This window comes from Homo sapiens, chromosome 21 (genome assembly GCF_000001405.40).
Source record: "Homo sapiens chromosome 21, GRCh38.p14 Primary Assembly".
Lineage (NCBI taxonomy): Eukaryota > Metazoa > Chordata > Mammalia > Primates > Hominidae > Homo > Homo sapiens.
The window spans coordinates 38,877,291-38,896,301 of NC_000021.9; the positions used below are offsets into that span (position 1 = coordinate 38,877,291).

At 37.4% G+C, this 19,011-nt stretch overlaps 1 long non-coding RNA gene and 1 pseudogene across 1 annotated transcript in view; one reads left to right on the forward strand and one right to left on the reverse strand.

Moving 5' to 3' along the window:
- Positions 1–19,011, reverse strand: part of ETS2-AS1 (ETS2 antisense RNA 1) — a 61,139-nt gene continuing 42,128 nt past the window's right edge. The window contains exon 4 of the long non-coding RNA NR_120405.1: positions 1–3,082. This is a non-coding gene — a long non-coding RNA (ETS2 antisense RNA 1). The remainder of the gene's footprint in view (positions 3,083–19,011) is intronic.
- RPSAP64 (ribosomal protein SA pseudogene 64) lies at positions 17,624–17,905 on the forward strand (annotated as a pseudogene).

Consider the following 19,011-nt stretch of genomic DNA (forward strand, 5'->3'; position numbering starts at 1 on the left):
CACTGAGATGTAACACTGTACCTTCTATTGTAGGTGCTCCAATCTCAGGTATACCATCCAATAATGTCTTACATATGTCTACAGCCATGCAACTGCCTCCCAGAGCAACATCTCAGACATTTCCAGGCTCCAGCAGACTTCCTGATGTTCCTTCTCTTTCAATACAAACCTCCAGTCCTACAGGTAACTGCTATTACAACTTCTAGTACCATGTGTTATTGAGCTTCATATAGATCGGAATTGTACAATGTGGGCTCCTTGAGATCTGCTTTCTTCTGCTTAACGTTATGTCTGTAAAACATCTTTGCATGGGGCAACAGTTTATTTTTTCATTGCTATGTACTATTCCATTGAATGCATATGCCCCAATTTATTTAGTTCATCCTAACGTGGATGGGTATGTGTTGTTTTCTGTTTGGGACTATGATATATAAAGGTGCTAGGACCTTTCTCACACATGTCTCTTGGTGGCCACAGCCCTCGTTTCTTTTGAGAATATGCCCAGGAGTTTCTGGGGCATGGAAATATGTATGTTTAACTGTAGTAGACACCTCCAAACTCTTTTCCAAAACTGAACCAATTTACACTTCAACCATCAGTGTATGAGAGCTCTTGCTGTTACCCACCATTGTCAACACTTGTTGTTGTCAGTCCTTTTAATTTTAGCCTTTCTAATGGATGCATAATGGTATCTTACTGTGGGTGTAATTTGCATTTTCCTCTTGGCTGTAATACTGGGCATCTTCTTATGTGCTATTGGCCACTTGTATTTTCCTCTATTATGGGGGTCTCCGTGAATCACTCTATAAAGGGCCTGACAGTTAATATCTCTGGCTTTGGAGGTCATATGGTCTTGTCCCTACTACTCAACTATGCTGTTGTCAAGCAAAAGCAGCCATGGGCAATGTGTGAATGAATGGGATTGGCTGTGTTCCAACACAGCTTATTTATAAAAACAGGCTGGGATGGGAGGTGGATTTTGCTGGTGAGGCTTTAATTTGGTGACCCCTGCTATATTGTAATGTGCCTGCCCAAGACTTCTGCCCATTTTAAAATTAGGTTGTCTTTTTAATTTATTCATACAAGTTCTCTGTAAGTTCTAAATTCCAGTTTTATATTCTTAATCATTTATCATGTTTTGAAAATTAAAAAAAAAAACAGTTATTATGTTGGACCATTCCTATAGCTTTTGCCCTGTGTTTCTACCATAGTCCCCTAAGAGATGAGATCACTCTTGTGAAAAGAGCTTCCTGCTGTTACCCAAGAGAGCTGTCTGCTGCCATCTTTGCCCCAGCATGACAGTGTGGCAGCCCAGCCCAGAGCACTGTGGCTCTGCTTGTAGCCTTGGGGAGTCCCACTGCCTAGACCAGGCTGGGTGAAAATAGCCTGACTTCTTGGAATGGACACAGTTTTCAAAAGGAGCATAAATTTAGTCTGCCAATTCATGTATATGCCATGATGGTCAAAATTGAGGGATCTGGGCAAAGATTCCTTTTCCATTCTTAGCCAAATGCTTTCTAGGTTGGGCATCAGTTGATGGTGCAATTGAGAGGAAATTGCCCAATTATTTTGTTGCTTCACTAACAAAATGCTTACTGTCTTTGCATTGTAAAATCTTTTTTTCATTTATAAGCTCCCCAAGGGAGCAAAAGCCATGCACAGTGGTGTGCCAGGAGCCCTCATGATTGTTTTGCCTGTTATCTTATTTGAGCAAATATTAGTATCTCATTTTGCAGCAAGGAAACTGAGGGTCAGAGTAGTTACATGAATTGATCGGGATCAAGAGATTAAATAATTGACCAAGCCAGAAATGTTTTACTCCAAAGTCCATGATCTTCCCCATGGGCCCATACTGTGGTTTCCCTTTCATATAGAGATGGGGCTGGAAGGGCCATTATTGAATATCTGGTCAAGTTCCCTCACTTGATGGATGAACGCTGAGATCTGGAAGGAGTCAACCAACTCATCACCCAAGGTTCCCCCAACAAGCTAGCAGCAAAGCTTGGATGAGAACCCAGATTTCTAAGTTCAAAGTCTTCCTCACATCTTCCTTTATTTAAATAATTTTGACTGTACTACATCAACCCATAACACAAGCTATATAAAAACAGCAATTTGTTTTTCTAAGACTATACCTAGTGTCTGTAATAGCATCAAGCAATTGAGATGTTCCATTTGTTGAATAAATGGATCGTAAGACAATAAGTAGTAGGTGGTTTGATTACATCCTGCAAAGAAGTTTTGATGCTCTTCCTACTTTTCACTCCCTCTTAAGTCTTCATTCAAGACAAAGAAGCTCATTGGATGCCCAATATCAGCCAAGACCAAAGGCCAAAAGGAAATGCACAACATCAAGCCTTTTTTTCTTGTTCAGTAATAAAATCTATAGCAATACTATAATTTGTTTCCTTTACAGATACTTTAATCAAAAAGAAACATATCAAAATATGGTAAATTCTGCTTGTTCATTCAAGTTATCCAATTGGCTTTAGAATGCCACTTATCCTTACTTTCAATTGTATTCATTTCCAAATATACAGCTTCTTAGAAATGTAGGGACACTATCCTCAGCCCTTAAATGTGGAATTTATCAACCCCTGTATTGTTTATTTTTGTGCAATTAGCAACATCACTTCTGGGGAAAAAAAAGGACTTTTGGGACTGATAAATGTATTTGTGACATTTTCCTCTAAATATCTTGCTTCTTTATGCATCCTCTCATTTTATACTGAGCTTGGTCTAGGGGAAGTTCGGGTAAACAGATCTCTTATGAGTAATTAGTGTCCAATTAAGCCAAGGTTTCATGTCTGTGTGAGTCCAGCCTCTTTTTCCAACCTCTGGGAAGAATTAAGTAGGTCAGGTCTCTGTTTACAAAGCAAGCCCCAATGCTGTTGACTATCCAGGGGATTTTACAAGTTATTCCCAGTAGCTGAACCACTAGATAAAGCTACTCAAAAAATTTGTATAGGCCTTTGCTGCTGTGCAAGGGGCAACGTTGACCATCCAGTGATCTAGGTCCTTCCTTTCTGCATTTGTCCTGTGGGAGTTTCCACAGACTGTTACATCACCAAGAAGCTTCATCCTGAAACAAAAGGAAGGTCACAACCCTGATCTCATGGTCAAAAGATCATGACACTATCCTTCCCATCATAAGCCCTGTTTCAAATGACTCAACTTGAACGGCAGCTGCTCTACTGGCAATCTTTTGTGCATGATTTATTTTTTCCAACTTTGTATTCCAAAAATTTTCAAATATACAAAAAAGATAAAAGATGAATACGAGGAACATTTGTATACTCACCACTTAGATTCAAAAATCATCGACATTTGGCTGAACCGTTTGAAAGTGAGCTGCACTTTAAATATTTTTGCATCTATCGCCTGAGAATAAAAACATTCTCTCTAATACGAAGTAACACTGTAACAAAGAATTATTTAAGTTATCAAAGTAGTCAAAATAAAGTTGTTCATAATATTTTCTTATTATCCTCTTAAAGTCTGTAGGATCTGTAGTGATGTGTCACTTTCATTCCTGATGCGGGAATTTGTGTCTTCGCTCTTTTTTTCTGCATAAATCTAATTAGAGGTTTATTAATTTTATTAATTTTTCCCCAAAGAACCTGCTGTGGGTTTCATTTATTTTTTTAGTTTTGGTAAATTTAATTCATGTCTGCTTTTATGTTTATTATTTCCCTTTTCCTATTTTTGGATTTAATTTGCTTCTTTCTAGCATCTTGAAGTGGAAGTTTTGATCTGTTTGTAGCCATATCTTACCTATTTTAATATGCTGCGTTTTTGTTCTTAGTTAGTTCAAAATATTTTTGATCCTCCTTGTTATTTCTGCTTTGACCCATGGGTTATTTAGAAATATGTTGTTTAATTTCCACATATTTGGGGGCTTTCCAGATTCTTCTGTTGTTGACTTCTTATTAAATTCTATTATAGGCAGAACATAAACTTTTTATGATTTCAATCCTTTTAAATTTGTTGAGGCTTGGTCTTTGGCTCAGCACATGGCCTATCTTGGCAAATGTTCCATGTGCACTGGAAAAGAGTGAACATTCTGTTGCTATTACATGGACATATTTACATCAATTAGTCAAGTTGGTAAATAGTGTTATTCACTATTCAGTAAATAGTGTTGCTGAGTTTCTGTTTACTTCTTCTGTAAGTTATTAGGAAAAGAATGCAGAAATTTCCAACTATGATTGTTGATTTACCCATTCTTCCCAGTTTATCAGTTTTTGCTTCATTTATTGTGTGCATACACATTTAAGATTGTTATATCTTTGTGATGCATTGACCCTTTGTCAGTATAAAACGTCCTTCTTCATCCCTGCTAATAATCATTTTTCTGATTTCTGTTTTCTCTGATGTTAATACAGCCAGTCTTACTTTATTTTTATTATTTGCATGAAATATCTATTTCTATCTTTTACCTATTTTTGTTATCACATGTGAAGTGAATTTCTTGGATAAAGAAAATGTGGTACATATACATCATGGAATACCATGCAGCCATAAAAAAAGAATGAAATAATGATCTTTGCAGCAACATGGATGCAGCTGGAAGCCATTATTATAAGCAAATTAATTCAGAAACAGAAAATAAATATTGCATATTCTCACTTATAAGTGGGAGCTAAACCTCAGATACATGTGAACATAAAGATGGGAACAAGAGATACTGGGAACTCCAAAAGGAGGGAAGACAGGAAGGTGGCAAGGGCTGAAAAACTTTTTATTGATACTATGTTCACTATCTGGATGATGGGATCAATAGAAGCCTAAGCCTCAGCATCACACGATATAACTAATCTTGCAATAAACCTGCGACAAACCTTGTAACAAACACATACCACTCGAATCTAAAATTTAAATTTAAAAATTTAAATAATAACAATAATTAAGTTTCTTGCAGCTCGCACACAGTTTTGTCTTTCATTTTTAACAAGCTCTGTCTTTTGATTGGGGTGACATGTTATGTAATTATCAACATGGTTGAATTTAAATCTACCATCTCCCTTTTTTTTCTATTCGTCTCATCCCTTTTTTATTTCTTTTCCCCTAAATTTCCACTTTCTTTTGGAATATATTTTTTCTACTCTATTTATAGACACTATTGGCTGATAAGCTATAGTCTTTTATTATTTTAAGTAGTTCTTCTAAGATTTACAATATTCAAATTTAACTTTTCACAGTCCATATAGATATAATATTATGCTACTTCATGTATAATCCTTAGGACATCATATTTCTATTTTTGCCTGCTATCTTTGTGCTATTATTGTCGTACACTTTATTTCTCACCTTATTTTAACTGCAAAATACATTTCTACTCTTTTTGCCTTAAATATTACATTATTTAAGGCAAATAATGGGCCAGGCATGGTGGCTCATGCCTGTAACCCCAGCACTTTGGGAGGCTATGTGGGCAGATCTCTTGAGATCAGGAGTTTGAGACCAGCCTGGCCAACATAGTGAAACCCCAACTCTACTAAAAATACAAAACTTAGCCTGGCATGGTGGCACATGCCTGTGGTCCCAGATCTCCAGAGGCTGAGGCAGGAGAACCACTTGAACTCAGGAGGCAGAGGCTGCAGTGAGCTGAGATCACATCACTGCACTCCAGCCTGGGTGACAGAGCAAGACTCTGTCTCAAAAAAAAAAAAAAAGAAAAAAGAAAAAAAATTAAATTATCTTTTAACAAAATGTTTAAATGAGGCAAAAAACCCTTTATATTTACTCAAATATTTATCAATATCAGCCCTTTCCATTCTTGTGTATACATCCAAGTTTCTATGTGATCGTAGGTTTTATATTCCCATGATTTAAAGGACTTGATTTAAATTTATTGTAGTGTAGGTCTGCTGGAAGTGAATTCTTGTAGCTTGTATTTGTCTGAAAAATATTTTATGTGACTTCCATTTTCAAAGAATTATTTTTCATGAATATATAATTATAGGTTAACAGGATTTATTGTCTATCTATCTATTGCTCTTTAAAGTTTTCTGGTCTGCATAGCTTCTGACAAGAAGTCTGCAGTCATTCTTACTGTTCCTCTGTACATATATCTATTTTCCCTCTCTGCTTTTAAGAATATTTCTACCACTTGTTTTTAGCTATTTATTATAATGCTTTATTATGGGGTGTGTGGTTGGGGGGTGTATGTGTGTATTTATTCTATTTTGGGTTTGTTGTGCTTCTTGGATCTCTAGCTCTGTAATTTTCATCCAATTTGGAGACATTTCAGACATTATTTCTTCAAATGTTTTGTCTTTTCTCTTTGAGGAATTTCAGTTACCATTACATTAGATGACTTTATATTTTTCCACAGATCTCTGTAGCTCCATACAATTTTTCTTAGTCATTTTTCTCTCTAGGCTTCATTTTGGATAAATCCCATTGCTATATCTACAAGTTCATTGATCTTAAAGGAAACCAGAATATTTCACCCCAAAATGTGGCTGAGCTAAAGAAGCAGTCTCAAGGTCTCTTTGATCCCTTCTCCTATCTCTCAATCCTCTGTCTCTCCCAAAGCACAGGATGAAGCTGCTCTCCAAAGTTCCCTTATCTACCTAGAAACTGGACCTACCAAAGAGGAACACACTTTTCTTCCCTAAAATTTCATTAACCAGAGAAGATTAAAACTCATATCAAAAGGAAGAGACTGAAAATTAAACACCAGATGAACTCATCCCAAACCGTTGTCTGCTGTCTGTCCTCTCCAATTTCCAAAGACTATTATTTACTAGCCATTGTCTGAGTATGAGGCCCATTCATTTTGCCCCTGAAAATCACTTACTATCCCTCAAACCATCCACATTTCCCCCATCTTCCCTTCTGCTATGAAGAAGAGTATATACGCATCCATACCCCATTGGGTAGTCATTTTCCTGCAATTCCCCTGTGCTATGCACATTAAAATAAAGTTTGTATGCCTTTTTTCTCTTATGAGTCTGCTTTTCTCTGTTGATTTTCAGCAAACAGTCAGAGGATGAAGAGGGAAATGTTCCCCCTTTACTCTTATATATTTGGTGCTGTGAGCAGCATATCCAAAACTGCTCTGCTTTTCTGGAAGCCACAACCAAAGGAACTCAGGACCTGAGAGGCCAATATAAGAGTAAGAAACTGTTACCAGACTCCTAGTCTCTCTCTGTGGAATCTGGTACCAGACTCCCAGTCTCTCTCTGTGGAATCTGGTTGAGCAGATGGTAAAAATTACTTTTTGTCTATTTTTCCTTTTTACATTTAAGATTAATGGGAGAAAAGCATTTGTATGACTATTGTTAGGTGCGGTGACTCTGGTGTATTTTTGGTATGAATATTCATATTGTCTGATCCATTTATGCCCAGAAATAGTCTTTGCTTTTTGTTTATCTTTGTCTCCCTGTGTCATTTTGTCATAAACAGGGGTACCATAGGGTAGAACATAGGCCTAAAACATAAGCCTGTTGTTCAAGCCAGCTTCCACAGACCGGTGAGTTTTATAGTTCTCAGCAGACCTCCAGCACCTATTTAGAAAAATTGTGCTGCGGGTCTCCAAAATGAAAACAGAATGAGGTTGCCCTCTCCTTTTGTTTTATGTCCTTGAAAGCTTTCTTTGTGACCAAGTGGGAGCATTTCTCTTTTTGGTCTCTGCTATCCAGGGTGTGTGATTTTCAGATCATGTGTGGTGGCCAGTCTGAAAGGACTGGGACACCCAAGATGCATAAAATTTTAAGCAGCGTGCTCTGTTGCTAACATGCTAGGCTCTCAGGATGGTTTGTCTTAATAAGGAGCCTCATCCACAAGGGGCTTTGTTGTCTCAATCTTTGTTGCCTGGTTAGTGCTGGGCAAATCCAATCCCAGAAGTTGGTGGATCTATAACTGATGGTACAGCCGAGTGTCCATGTGTCCATGTACTTGTGTGGAGAACAGAGACATCATTCACACAAATACCATCCTTAATCACCTGTGGCAACAAAGATCTTTTGCTATCTTAGCCTATTTCTGGGAGTGAATTTTTGGGGATCATGGAGGCTGCATCTTCTATGCCTCCTGATCTTCCCATAAAGAGGCTTATTAGATTGAGTTGCTATTAAAATAAGTACACCATTGGAAAGTCTAATCATCAATGGCCAGATAATAGTTTTTTGAATTAGAAAGACTTATATATTTGAAAACAAAATTTGAAGATCTCTTGCCCTAAGCAGTTGCCTTATTTGTATTGATGAGAGAACCAAATTAAAAGAAAGACATGTAATATTGGGATGGCTAGTCTTAAAAATTATTCTGACAAAATTAAAAAGCAAAAATTTGACCTAAAACAAAAGTTAAAATTCTTTGAACACTCAAACTGCCAACTTTGAATTTCCAGGGGAATTTGTAAAAAAGTCACTCCAGCCTATGGTCTGGTATTTAAGATTCTGTGCATTTACCACTGTGGTCTGGGTTTGATTTAGTTCTCTGGTCAGGGAATCGGCCCCTTGAAAATGTAAATCCTTTAATTCAGAAGGAAACATTTATAAAAACTAGTTTGAATTATTCGTTTTGAATTTATATTTGTATGACTCAACATTTGAGGTACCCATTTGTTTGTATTCTTTCTTCTCATATAGACAACTTTTCATTTTCTGTTGTCTAACTAACTGTCGCTTTTAATTTTCCATCTATGGGGCACACAGATTGCTGGGCCATTGTGTGTAGATGGACAGCTGAGAAGTTTGGTCTCTAGAAAATATGACCAGACAGAGATGTGGGCTGTACTTCATTTGTGACTGGTGACACTTTCCTTGCTTTAAGCTGTCACTGGGAGGGGTCTAGATCTTGGAAGGGTTGCAACTTTTGCTTCTCTTTTGGAGACTTGGGTTAAACCCATAAAGGGCTTCTTGGTTTTATTCTCATGTATGCTTATTTGTTTTGGTTTTGAGTAATTCACTTAGGAATACTTCTGGTTTAAAACTCTATTTTTAGAATGTGATAGCAAGTTTTTTTTCTGTTTATCTTGCATCCTCTACTGGATCAGAGAGATGTATCTCCCACCACCACTGGGAACCAAAGACCTTCTTAGGTGGCAAAAGAGAGGTGCTGCTCCCACCACCACTGCCAATGCTCCCCTCCTCAGTCTCTCAGCTCTCACAAAAGGCTGGCTGCTCACATAACAGAAAATTTGCTGCTTGTATTTTTTTTTTTTTAATTTTACAGAGCTCTATGGTCGAAAGTCAGTTTAATTAAAAGCTAATCTTCTCTCTTCTCTTTTAAATTCTATCTCTCCTATGGAAACTTCTTAGTCAACAAGACCCCTCTTTTTTGAACCCCTGCTAACTAAAACTTCATTGACCTTTTGGGAAACTTAAGATTCTCCCAAACTGACTCCCCTAAGACTTGGTCCATTTACTTTTTCTCCTCTTTCCTTTTGGCACCTTCAATCTTTCATCCAGTTAATCCCCTCCCTCCTTCATTTGGTAATCAGTTGATAAAAATTACTAAAAGGAAGCAACAGCACTCTGGCCACCACAAAGATCTAAAGGAAACTTTCAGCAATGCTGAGAACCCGAGCAGAACACAGAAAAGGCACTATTGACCCTCTCTTTTGGGGTCCTCTGTCTTCCTCATGAGCCTCAAAAGTCATAATCAGCTTCTTCTCAGATCTAAAGGTCTGCTCTCTTTTGCACTGAATTCCTGGATCTCTTTGGTTTTTAGATACATATCATGTATGCATGTGGTGGTGTATGTTGTGTCGACATGTATGTAGATTATTATACCTGTGTTTCTATATTGTCTACATAATACCAAATTGATCTTAAAATAAACACTCTTGAATTAAGTAGATAAGCTTAAATGCTATTCAAGTTTACATGACTGTAATAAATCTTTGGTAAATAAAGCTAATTTTTAAATTGTTGGTAAAATAAAATGAAAATGCCTTCAGAATTGTCATTATTAATGCGACGTTTTTGCCTGGGTCTACTGGTCAGACAGATTTATGCTGTCTCTTATAGACATTTTAAGGTTACAAAATTGTTGCTTCTGTGATATTTTTAATACTTGCTTGATTTGTCTGTGAGCTAAAACTGTGCTGTGGGCTGGCTGCTGGGTTTCCCCCAACCTTACATACATCTTACTGTGAGCTTATATCTTTGGTTTTGAGCTTCTGGATTCTGGGCTCTGGACAGGTGGCTATGGTGAGGCCTGGGGACACGTGGGTCTACAGTGCCTAAGCCACCAGCTGCAGGGCAGAGCCAAGCCCAATACGGCCCCGTCTTCCCTGGCCCAGCTATACCTCCTGGCCATGCTCAGTGGGGTTGGATCCTCTAGACATTTTCTTCAAAAGTCTATCCTCTGTCCTGGGCTCTACATCTGATATGTAACTCTAGGACCCAGATGGGCCCTGCCCTTCAGAGCTTTCCTGGATACCCAGGATGGCTGTGGGAGGGACATTGCGGGGGGTGTCTGTGCCCAGTATCTCAAAGGCCTTGGTAGGATAAACTGCTTGCTGACACAGGATTAGCCTCGTGTTGCCTTTTAAAAAATAGACCAGACATAGTGACTCACACCTGTAATCCCAAGACTTTGAGAGGCCAAGGCAGGAGGATCCTTTGAGCCCAGGAGTTCAAGATCATTCCTGGACAACATGGTGAGACACCATCTCTACAGAAAATTTAAAAATTAGCTGAGTAAGGAAAAAGAAAAATATTAGCTGAATGTGATGGTGTGTACCTGTAGTCCCAGCTACTTGGGATGCTGAGGTGGAAAGATCACTTCACCCTTGGAATCAAGGCTGCAGTGAGCCATGATCATGCCACTGCACACCCGTCTGGGTGACAGAGTGAGACCCTGTCTGAAAAAAATGAAATAAAATAAATAATAAATTAAAATTAAAAATCACTTAAATGGCTAGCTTTATTTTCTATGAGCAATTCAAATATAATTGTTAAGAATGAGTAAATCAGGTAAATGTAAATGCAATAAACAAGAATAAAAGTTGTCATCATTTCAAAAACCTTTTTAGTAAGTTAAAAGGTTTTTAGAAAACTTTGAGAACATACCATTCATTGGACTGGTTAAAATTCCAGAACTCTAATGAAAAAAAAATTGACTCATAAAATTGCTAACCTAATGTCAAGCAGAACAAGAATTAATTACATAGAGCTGAAATGGTGAAGGACTGAAATAATTTTTTATGATTCTTTTGTTTGAAACATTGCTTATCCTTTTCAAGTTTTATTTTTGAGAGTTAAGAAAACTGTTTTCTCTTAAGCTATCTATAGCTTTACAGTAAAAGCTATAGACAAAGTATATTTCTGTGAAAAAAGTTGAAACATTTACCTTTCTCTCTACCTGATCCCTTCAGAATTCAGAAATTCTTCATGAGTATTCTTACTTTATGGCTTTACAATTATTTCATAAGTTCAGTAAGAACTCATTCTCTTTTATAACAAGACACAACTGGAAACACTGGTTATTTTACCAAGGCTCTGACTGAAATACAATATTTTTAGATATGATCAGATTGCTTTGAGGACTGAAGTTGACTTTTGTGGAGCTGATAAAATGTCCCTTGGAGAGACTGGCCTTGTACCTTGTCTACATGATTCCCTTACAAGCTTCCTGATTTTGTGGTGAGTAATGAATGTCACCTTATGACAGGCCCATGAACCTCAAGTTATTTGAGGGACCTTGAGAAAAGAGGTATTCATCCATTTATACAGGTATTACAGACACAGTCTGAGACTGAGTCAGATTTTTGGCTTGACTTCTTAACATAGCTAGGAAGCCAAGGGGCTTTTTAAAAAGTCTAATCTGAGATTCTTTATGAAAATATTCCAGCAAAGCCAACTTAGAACAAGCCTATAGGTCATTCATCATTCTTACTAAACTTTTGTAAATAATCAGGTCAAAGACTAAACTTAAACAAAACAGTCTGTCTATGATTATCTTTGGTTGAAATGGGAGGATTCGAGAGAAAAAATTATGTCATAGAAAAAAACTTCACATATGCCTGTTATTACATTCTAGCCTTGTCCATTTGTTTCTGAGCTTTGTATCTGGACTGAATCACACATTTTTATTTTCCTCCAATATATGGCTGAGACACTCAGACTAATGTTTCCAATTTTTCTTCCACCCTTCTGACTTAGAATTATTAGAAACTAAAACTGCCTTTTTCCTGAGGCTGAAGCTAGTCAACTTGGCTTTGAAGGAATATTATTGCAACAGCTTATATTTGGACAAAACTTTCTACACGCAAAATGCAGGCTACAAAAATCTGTCAGATTGCCACTAATCTTCTCAACTGACTGTCCTCCAGACTCTAAAGAAACTAGTTTATAAATTATTTCACCCATTAACATTTGTTTTTTGTTTCTGTTTCCATAAAAGCCCTCTTATTAAAGCTCTATTTGCCTACATCATATATAGAGGCCTAGCTTTGAGAATCTATCTACAATGCCATCTTTTAAAATGAAACACACTTGTTTAATTGGACTGGCCAATTTCCAGAAATAAGAGACTAGTTTAATTGGATTTTTGAAAGTGCTTAGATTTGTTCTTTCTTTATGTATTCATTCTCATCATAATCTATGTTCTTTTCTCCCTTTACAGATCGCTTGCCACTGGATTACTAATCTGATTTCTCTCTCCATAGCTACCAATCCTACTTTAATATGTGAAACCTTTTGAAAATAAAGCTTCAAACAGGAGACTAAAAAATCAATATTTCACCCCAAAATATTGCTGATCTAAAGAAGCAGCTCAAGTTCTAACTCCTTCCCCCATCTCCCAGTCCTCTGTCCTCCCCAAAGCATAGGATAAAGCTGTTCTCTAAAATTCCCTCATCTATCTAGAAACTGGACCTACCAAAGAGGAACACAATTGCCTGCCTCGAAATTTTATTAACCAGAGAAGACTAAAATTCATATCACAGAGGAAGAATCCCAAACCATTTCTTCTTTCTGCCCCATTCCAATTTCCAAATGGTTAGTAAATTTCCAATTTACTAACCATTGTCGGACCATTAGGCCCATTTATTTCCACCTAAAAATCATTTATTATCCCTCAGATTGCCACACTTCCCCCATTTTCCCTTCCCCTGTGAAGAAGGGGCTATAAGTATCTGTACCCCATTGGGTTATTGGGCAATCATTCTCCTGCAACTCCCCTGTGCTATGCACATTAAAATAAAGTTTGTATGCCTTTTTCTCCTACTAATCTGCCTTTTGTCAGTTGATTTTCAGTGACCTTTCAGTGAACCTGTAATTTTTTCTTCTGTATTATTCAATTTACTCATATTACTTCCACTAATTTTTTAATTTCATTTATTGTATTTTTCATCACTTGAAATTGCATTTGGTTCTTTTAAATTTATTCAATTCTGTCCTCACTATGTTTTTATTTTCTTTTAAGTACCTAAATGTATTTATAATACCTGTTGTAGGGTCCTTGTCTGCTAATTCCATAATCTCTGTGTATTAGTCCATTCTCACACTGCTATAAGGACATACCCAAGACTGGGTAATTTATAAAGGAAAGAGGTTTAATTGACTCACAGTTCAGCATAGCTGGGGAAGCCTCAGGAAACTTACAATCATAGCAGAAGGGGAAGCAAACACATCCTTCTTCACATGATGGCAGGGAGAAGAAGAATGAGAGCCAAGTAAAGGGGGTAGCCCCTTATAAAACCATCAGATCTCGTGAGAATTTACTCACTATCATGAAAACAGGATGGGGGAAACCACCCCCATGATTCAATTATCTCCACCTGGTCCCTCCCACAACACATGGGGATTATGTGAACTACAATTCAAGATGAGATTTGGGTGGGAACACAGCCAAACCATATCACTCTGTCCTTTCTGATTTGCTTCTAATGGTTAATATTTCTCCTAGTTATTATTCACGTTTTCTTTTTGCTTCTTGTAGTTTTTAGCAGGATACTATAAATGGTATGTTTTGGGGCTTGCATTTTGCCATTTCCCTTTATAGAGTGGTGGGCTTTGTTTTGAAAAACATCTAAGTCATTTGAAGATTAGACTGATCCCTTGGAGACCTGTTTTTGTTTAAAGCTTTTCTAGGGTAGATGTAGAATAATGTTGCTCCACCAATAATTTGGTCCTATCAGTACTGCGTGACTGCCCTGGGGTACTCAGTGACCACTCCAGGGTGTTGCTGAGGACTCTCCACTCTGACAAGCCAGACCATAAACATCTGCCTTCCTTGTGTGATGGGCATTCAGTCAGCTCACAGCTCACTGGTCATGCTTTGCCCATCTTTGTTGACATTCACTCTGCACAGGAACAGCCTAAAACTCAGCAAACACTCATGAAGACCCTCTGCAAATTTCTGCAGTGGTTTCTCTGGGTAGTTCCCTCCACTTTGGAAATCATCTTTACAATGTCTTATAGGTTCAGCCTCCTTGAACTCTGATCTCTATCCTTTCAACTCTGAGGCCACTGGGCCCCGTTCGGGTTGCTGCTTCTGCGACCATGGTCTGAAAAACGCCTCCAGGTAGAAAGGTGTTTATCTGTTGTTAGGGATCACAGTACTGTGCTATCTATTGTCCAATGTCTGAATACAGTTGTCTAATCTATTTTGTCCTGTTTCGAAGCTTTTTATAGGAAAAGAAGTTCATGTCTTGCTATTTCCTCATGGCCTGAGGTGAAGTCCTCCTTATTTTGTTCACTTCCCTTTGTTTCCATAATTATTTCTCCCTTATCATTTCTTTATATTTGTGTTTTCTCCCTTATTTTCTTAAATAGGTTTGTCTGCTTTGTTGTTTTTTTAATGAACTAAATTTGAATGTATTATACCTACTGTTTTTTAAGTTTCTAACTCATTAATTGTTGCTTTTATCTATTATCTCCTTTCTTCTGATTTTTTTTTGAGTTTGCTTCCTAAAATCTGTTGAGTTTGAAACACTTATATATTCTGTTTTTAAATTTTTTTAAATTTTTACTGAGGCTAGGACTATACTTCATATAATGAGTGTACCATGAATAAATCTGTGTCAAGTGAACAATCTTCTTGGTGACATTCAAATAGGAATCTCATGCATTACTTTTTTAAATAACAGCTTTATTGAGGTTTAACTCACCTATCACAAAATTCACCTTTTTAAGGTTTACAATTCAGTGGTTTTTAATGTACTCACAGAGTTATACAACCTCACCACTCTCTCATTTTAGAACATTTTTGTCACCCTAAAAAGAAAAACTGCACCCATCGGCAGTCTTTCCCCATCTTACCCTCAGTTCCTGGCAACTACTAATCTGTTTTATGTCCCAATGGACTTGCCTTTTATGGACATGCAATAGGAATGGGATTATACAATTTGTGACATTTTGTGACTGGTTCCTTTCATGTACTGTTTTCAAGAGTCATCCATGTTTAGTATGTATCAGTACTGCCTTCCTTTTTATGGTGAATGATGTACCATATTTGTTTATCTTTTATCAGTTGATGCATATTTGGGCTTTTTGACTCTTTGGCTATTATGAATAATGCTGCTTTGAACATTTGCATAGATGTTTTTGCATCAACATATGTTTTCAGTACTCATGGGGCCGAATTGCTGGGTCATATGGTAACTTTAACTTTTTGAGGAATTGCCAAACTTGTTTCCAAAACAACTGCATAATTTAAATTCCCACCAACAATGAATGAGGGGTCCAGTTTCTCCACATCTTTGTCAACACTTGTTATTGTCTTTTTTTTTTTTAGTTTAACCATCCTAGTGGTGTGACGTGTATCACATTGAGGTTTTGATTTGCATTTCTCAAAAGACTAATGGTGGGCATCTTTCCAACGTGCTATTGACTATTTGTATATCTTACATTTTATCTTACATTTTCAATTCTTACATCTAGACTTCTGTAAGAGGCCTATGATCCATTTTTTTTATGATCCATTTTGAGTTAAGTTTTGTGTATGCTATGAGGTAAGGTCCCAACTTCATTCTTTTGTATGTAGATATCTAATTGTTCCAGCACCATTTGTTGAAAAGCCATGCAGCATTTTTGTCAAAGAAAAAAGTCTCTAATATATAAATGGCTATAATTTTATGAAATCATAGCACATTGCCTCTAGAATTCTGCTTAGAAGTAATTTATTTCAAATGTCCTCAAACGGGTCAGCTAATTTACCGAGAGCATCGATTCTGCCCCCAGCTCATGCCCCCAGGATCTATACCAACCTAGAAACTGTGCAGCTGGTCCTCTACTGTGTTGATGATCAGAATTCCCTTCTCCTTTTTCTCCCCACATATTTTTATTTCCACCTTGATACTAAAACTCTCAGAAAACTAGTAGATGTGCAGGGATCAGGGGAGTGATGTGGTGTGAAGGGTTTAGGGAGAAATTGTTAGTAACACATTTCATTTGAGAAAATAAATTTCTTTTAGGGAAGATGAAGGCAAGAGGAGCTCTAGAGTGAGCAAGAAGGGATTGGTGATTTTTTTTTTATATCATTCTTTGGCACAGAGTTCTAGGAAATCAGTTGTGTGATAGGAGACCCACTCCTGTATAGCAAAGCTACCATGGATGAAGGCCTTCTAGACCTGGGATTGTAGGAGTTCTAACCATCACTAAACTTCTTTAGTGCGGCAGATTTTTCGCTGACTCCACTGCCATTCCTGCTTGATTCTAGTGAGGCTTCTGATATAACAATGCTAGAAAACTAAAAACCCCACTTACCAGAGCCAGGATTTTGTACGTGGATGAGATTCTTCCAAGCAGATGTCCACATACGAGACTAGGAGGGTTTGAGCAATGGGAGGCAGTGGCCAGGCTCAGGGACACTGGAGGTCTTTGCAAGCAACAGACACGTTGGTTCTCCTGGGGCAGTTCTAGAAGAGTTTCCAGAGTCTGGTTCCTAGAAACTTAGGTACGGAGCAGTACGTGGTGGCAACCATGGTGTTTCCACTAGAAGAGCTCCATGTAAGATGGGGCATTTCCCTTGATTGCCATTGTTTCTAAGTGTGCAGCAATCAAATCTTATTTCCTGGGTCCTGGTGAAGTTCTGTAAGAATCATCGTATCATCTGATAAATCATTTTCTTCTCAGAGTAACCAGAGTGCATTCTGTTGTCTGCCACTATGAGCCATAACCAGTGACCTCCTTAACAAAGATAGGGAAGTTAACACATTCTTACGTAGGCCATCATCAAGGCTAGATAAATGTTTCTTCTAAGAGTAAATCTAAAAGGAAAACATCAATATGTGCCATTGGGAATAAAATATTTTTTAAAAACTGAAAGAAAAACAACCCCAACAACTCAGAAGGGGATGGAGAGACTTTTGAAGATGATTTACTGCACAAACCAGAAATAAATTATTTTGGAAACTCAAAATGATTTACTAGAGATACCAGAAGTAAATTATTTTCGAAACAGTGTGCCATCACTAATAGAATACACAAAGACAGCAACTCCATGAAACAAAATCAGAAACCAAAACCAAAGAACAGGCTGCAAAGGAAGGGGAAAGAAGATGAGCATTAAAGACAGAAAGATGGCAGGTTGTGTGCTCCACAAGGAGCACATTTTGCACTAACACCACAAGAGTCTGGCTCAGTGAATGGGGATTGATAGTAGTTTAAATGTCTGAGAGCTTTGAGGAGGGATTAAAACATGTGAAAAATGGAGACGAGCTCACTCCACAGGTCTGATGTAGGCGATGCTGGCCCAGGAAGTTCTGTGCATGGTGGCACCCCTGTGACACCCATGGAAGGCCATGTCTGATCTCCAGTTCCACAGAGATCCTGAAGAGACAGAAAGGGAAGAGCAGCTGCTGCGGAAAAGGTTGTGGCCAGGGAGGAATTTCAGGGAGAATGGACTGCTCCAGTTCCTGAGTTGACTGCTCTCCAAGCTGAGGCTGCAGACTGGGCTATAGGTGTAGGTGGCCTCTGGGCCCATTCAGCTGATCCCTACTGAAGTCTAAGGGGCTCAGTCTCCCACTGAAGGCTGATCTGCAGCTCCCACTGCCCAGCCACTGAGGGGTCTTAACTGTTTTTCCACAGGCTCTTACACAGAAAACAGAAAAAAGGTGAATGGAAAATTAACATCAGTTTTTTAAAAAGTAAGACGAGCCAAGACAACCAGATGAGAAGATAAACATGATTGGTGAGATAAGAAAGGATTCTAAGAAAACAATTGCAATAAGATAAATATGTTTTAGAGGAGGCTGGGAGTATAGTGTCAAATTTGATGTAGTGCAATATTTGGCTCTTTAAAAAATATAATAAACCCTAAGCAAATATAATTAAGAAAACAGAAAAAATGAACAAATAACAAAAGAGAAAGGCAAAATGATAAGCTTCCGATAAACATAAGCAGGAAAAATGGGCAAATAAGAAATCAGAAATAAGAAATGTCAAGGGAAAAAAGAGTTGGAAGGAGAAAGGTATAATAACAGAAATGGAGGCAACATATCAACTGATTATAATGTATGTACTCAAACTGTATAAAAGCAAAAGATCATTGGAGAAACATGAACATTGAATGAATATTTGATGACATCAAGAAATTATTGCCAACGTTTTAGGTAGGTAGTGATATTTTCACTATTTTTAGGTCCATATATTTTAGAGCTACATGATGAAATATTTAAAGATGAAATTATGATGGTGGAATTTGTTCAAAATAATGGGAGAGGGGGTGGCAGTGAATGACAAAATGAATGGGGATATAAGTAGAATGAAGTTTTCATGAACTGACTAATGTTGAAGCTAGAAGATGGGACAATAGTTAATTGTACTATCTTCTCTAATTTTATATAATAAAAAGTTTTTAAAATTAAACTGAGCTGAGAACAAAAGTGATAGGAGATTATGATATTCTACCTTGCAAAATATAATTTAAAATCTTAAAATTAAGCACACTTTTCTGGGCATGTTACCAAAATTGACATAAGAGAAAAATTTAAATGTGAATATATTACTAGCCACAAAAGAAATTTAAAATACAATTAACATATGTCAAAAGTTTCTTTCACAAATTTGAGGAATCAGGTTGTATCAACTCTTCTAGAAAATAGAA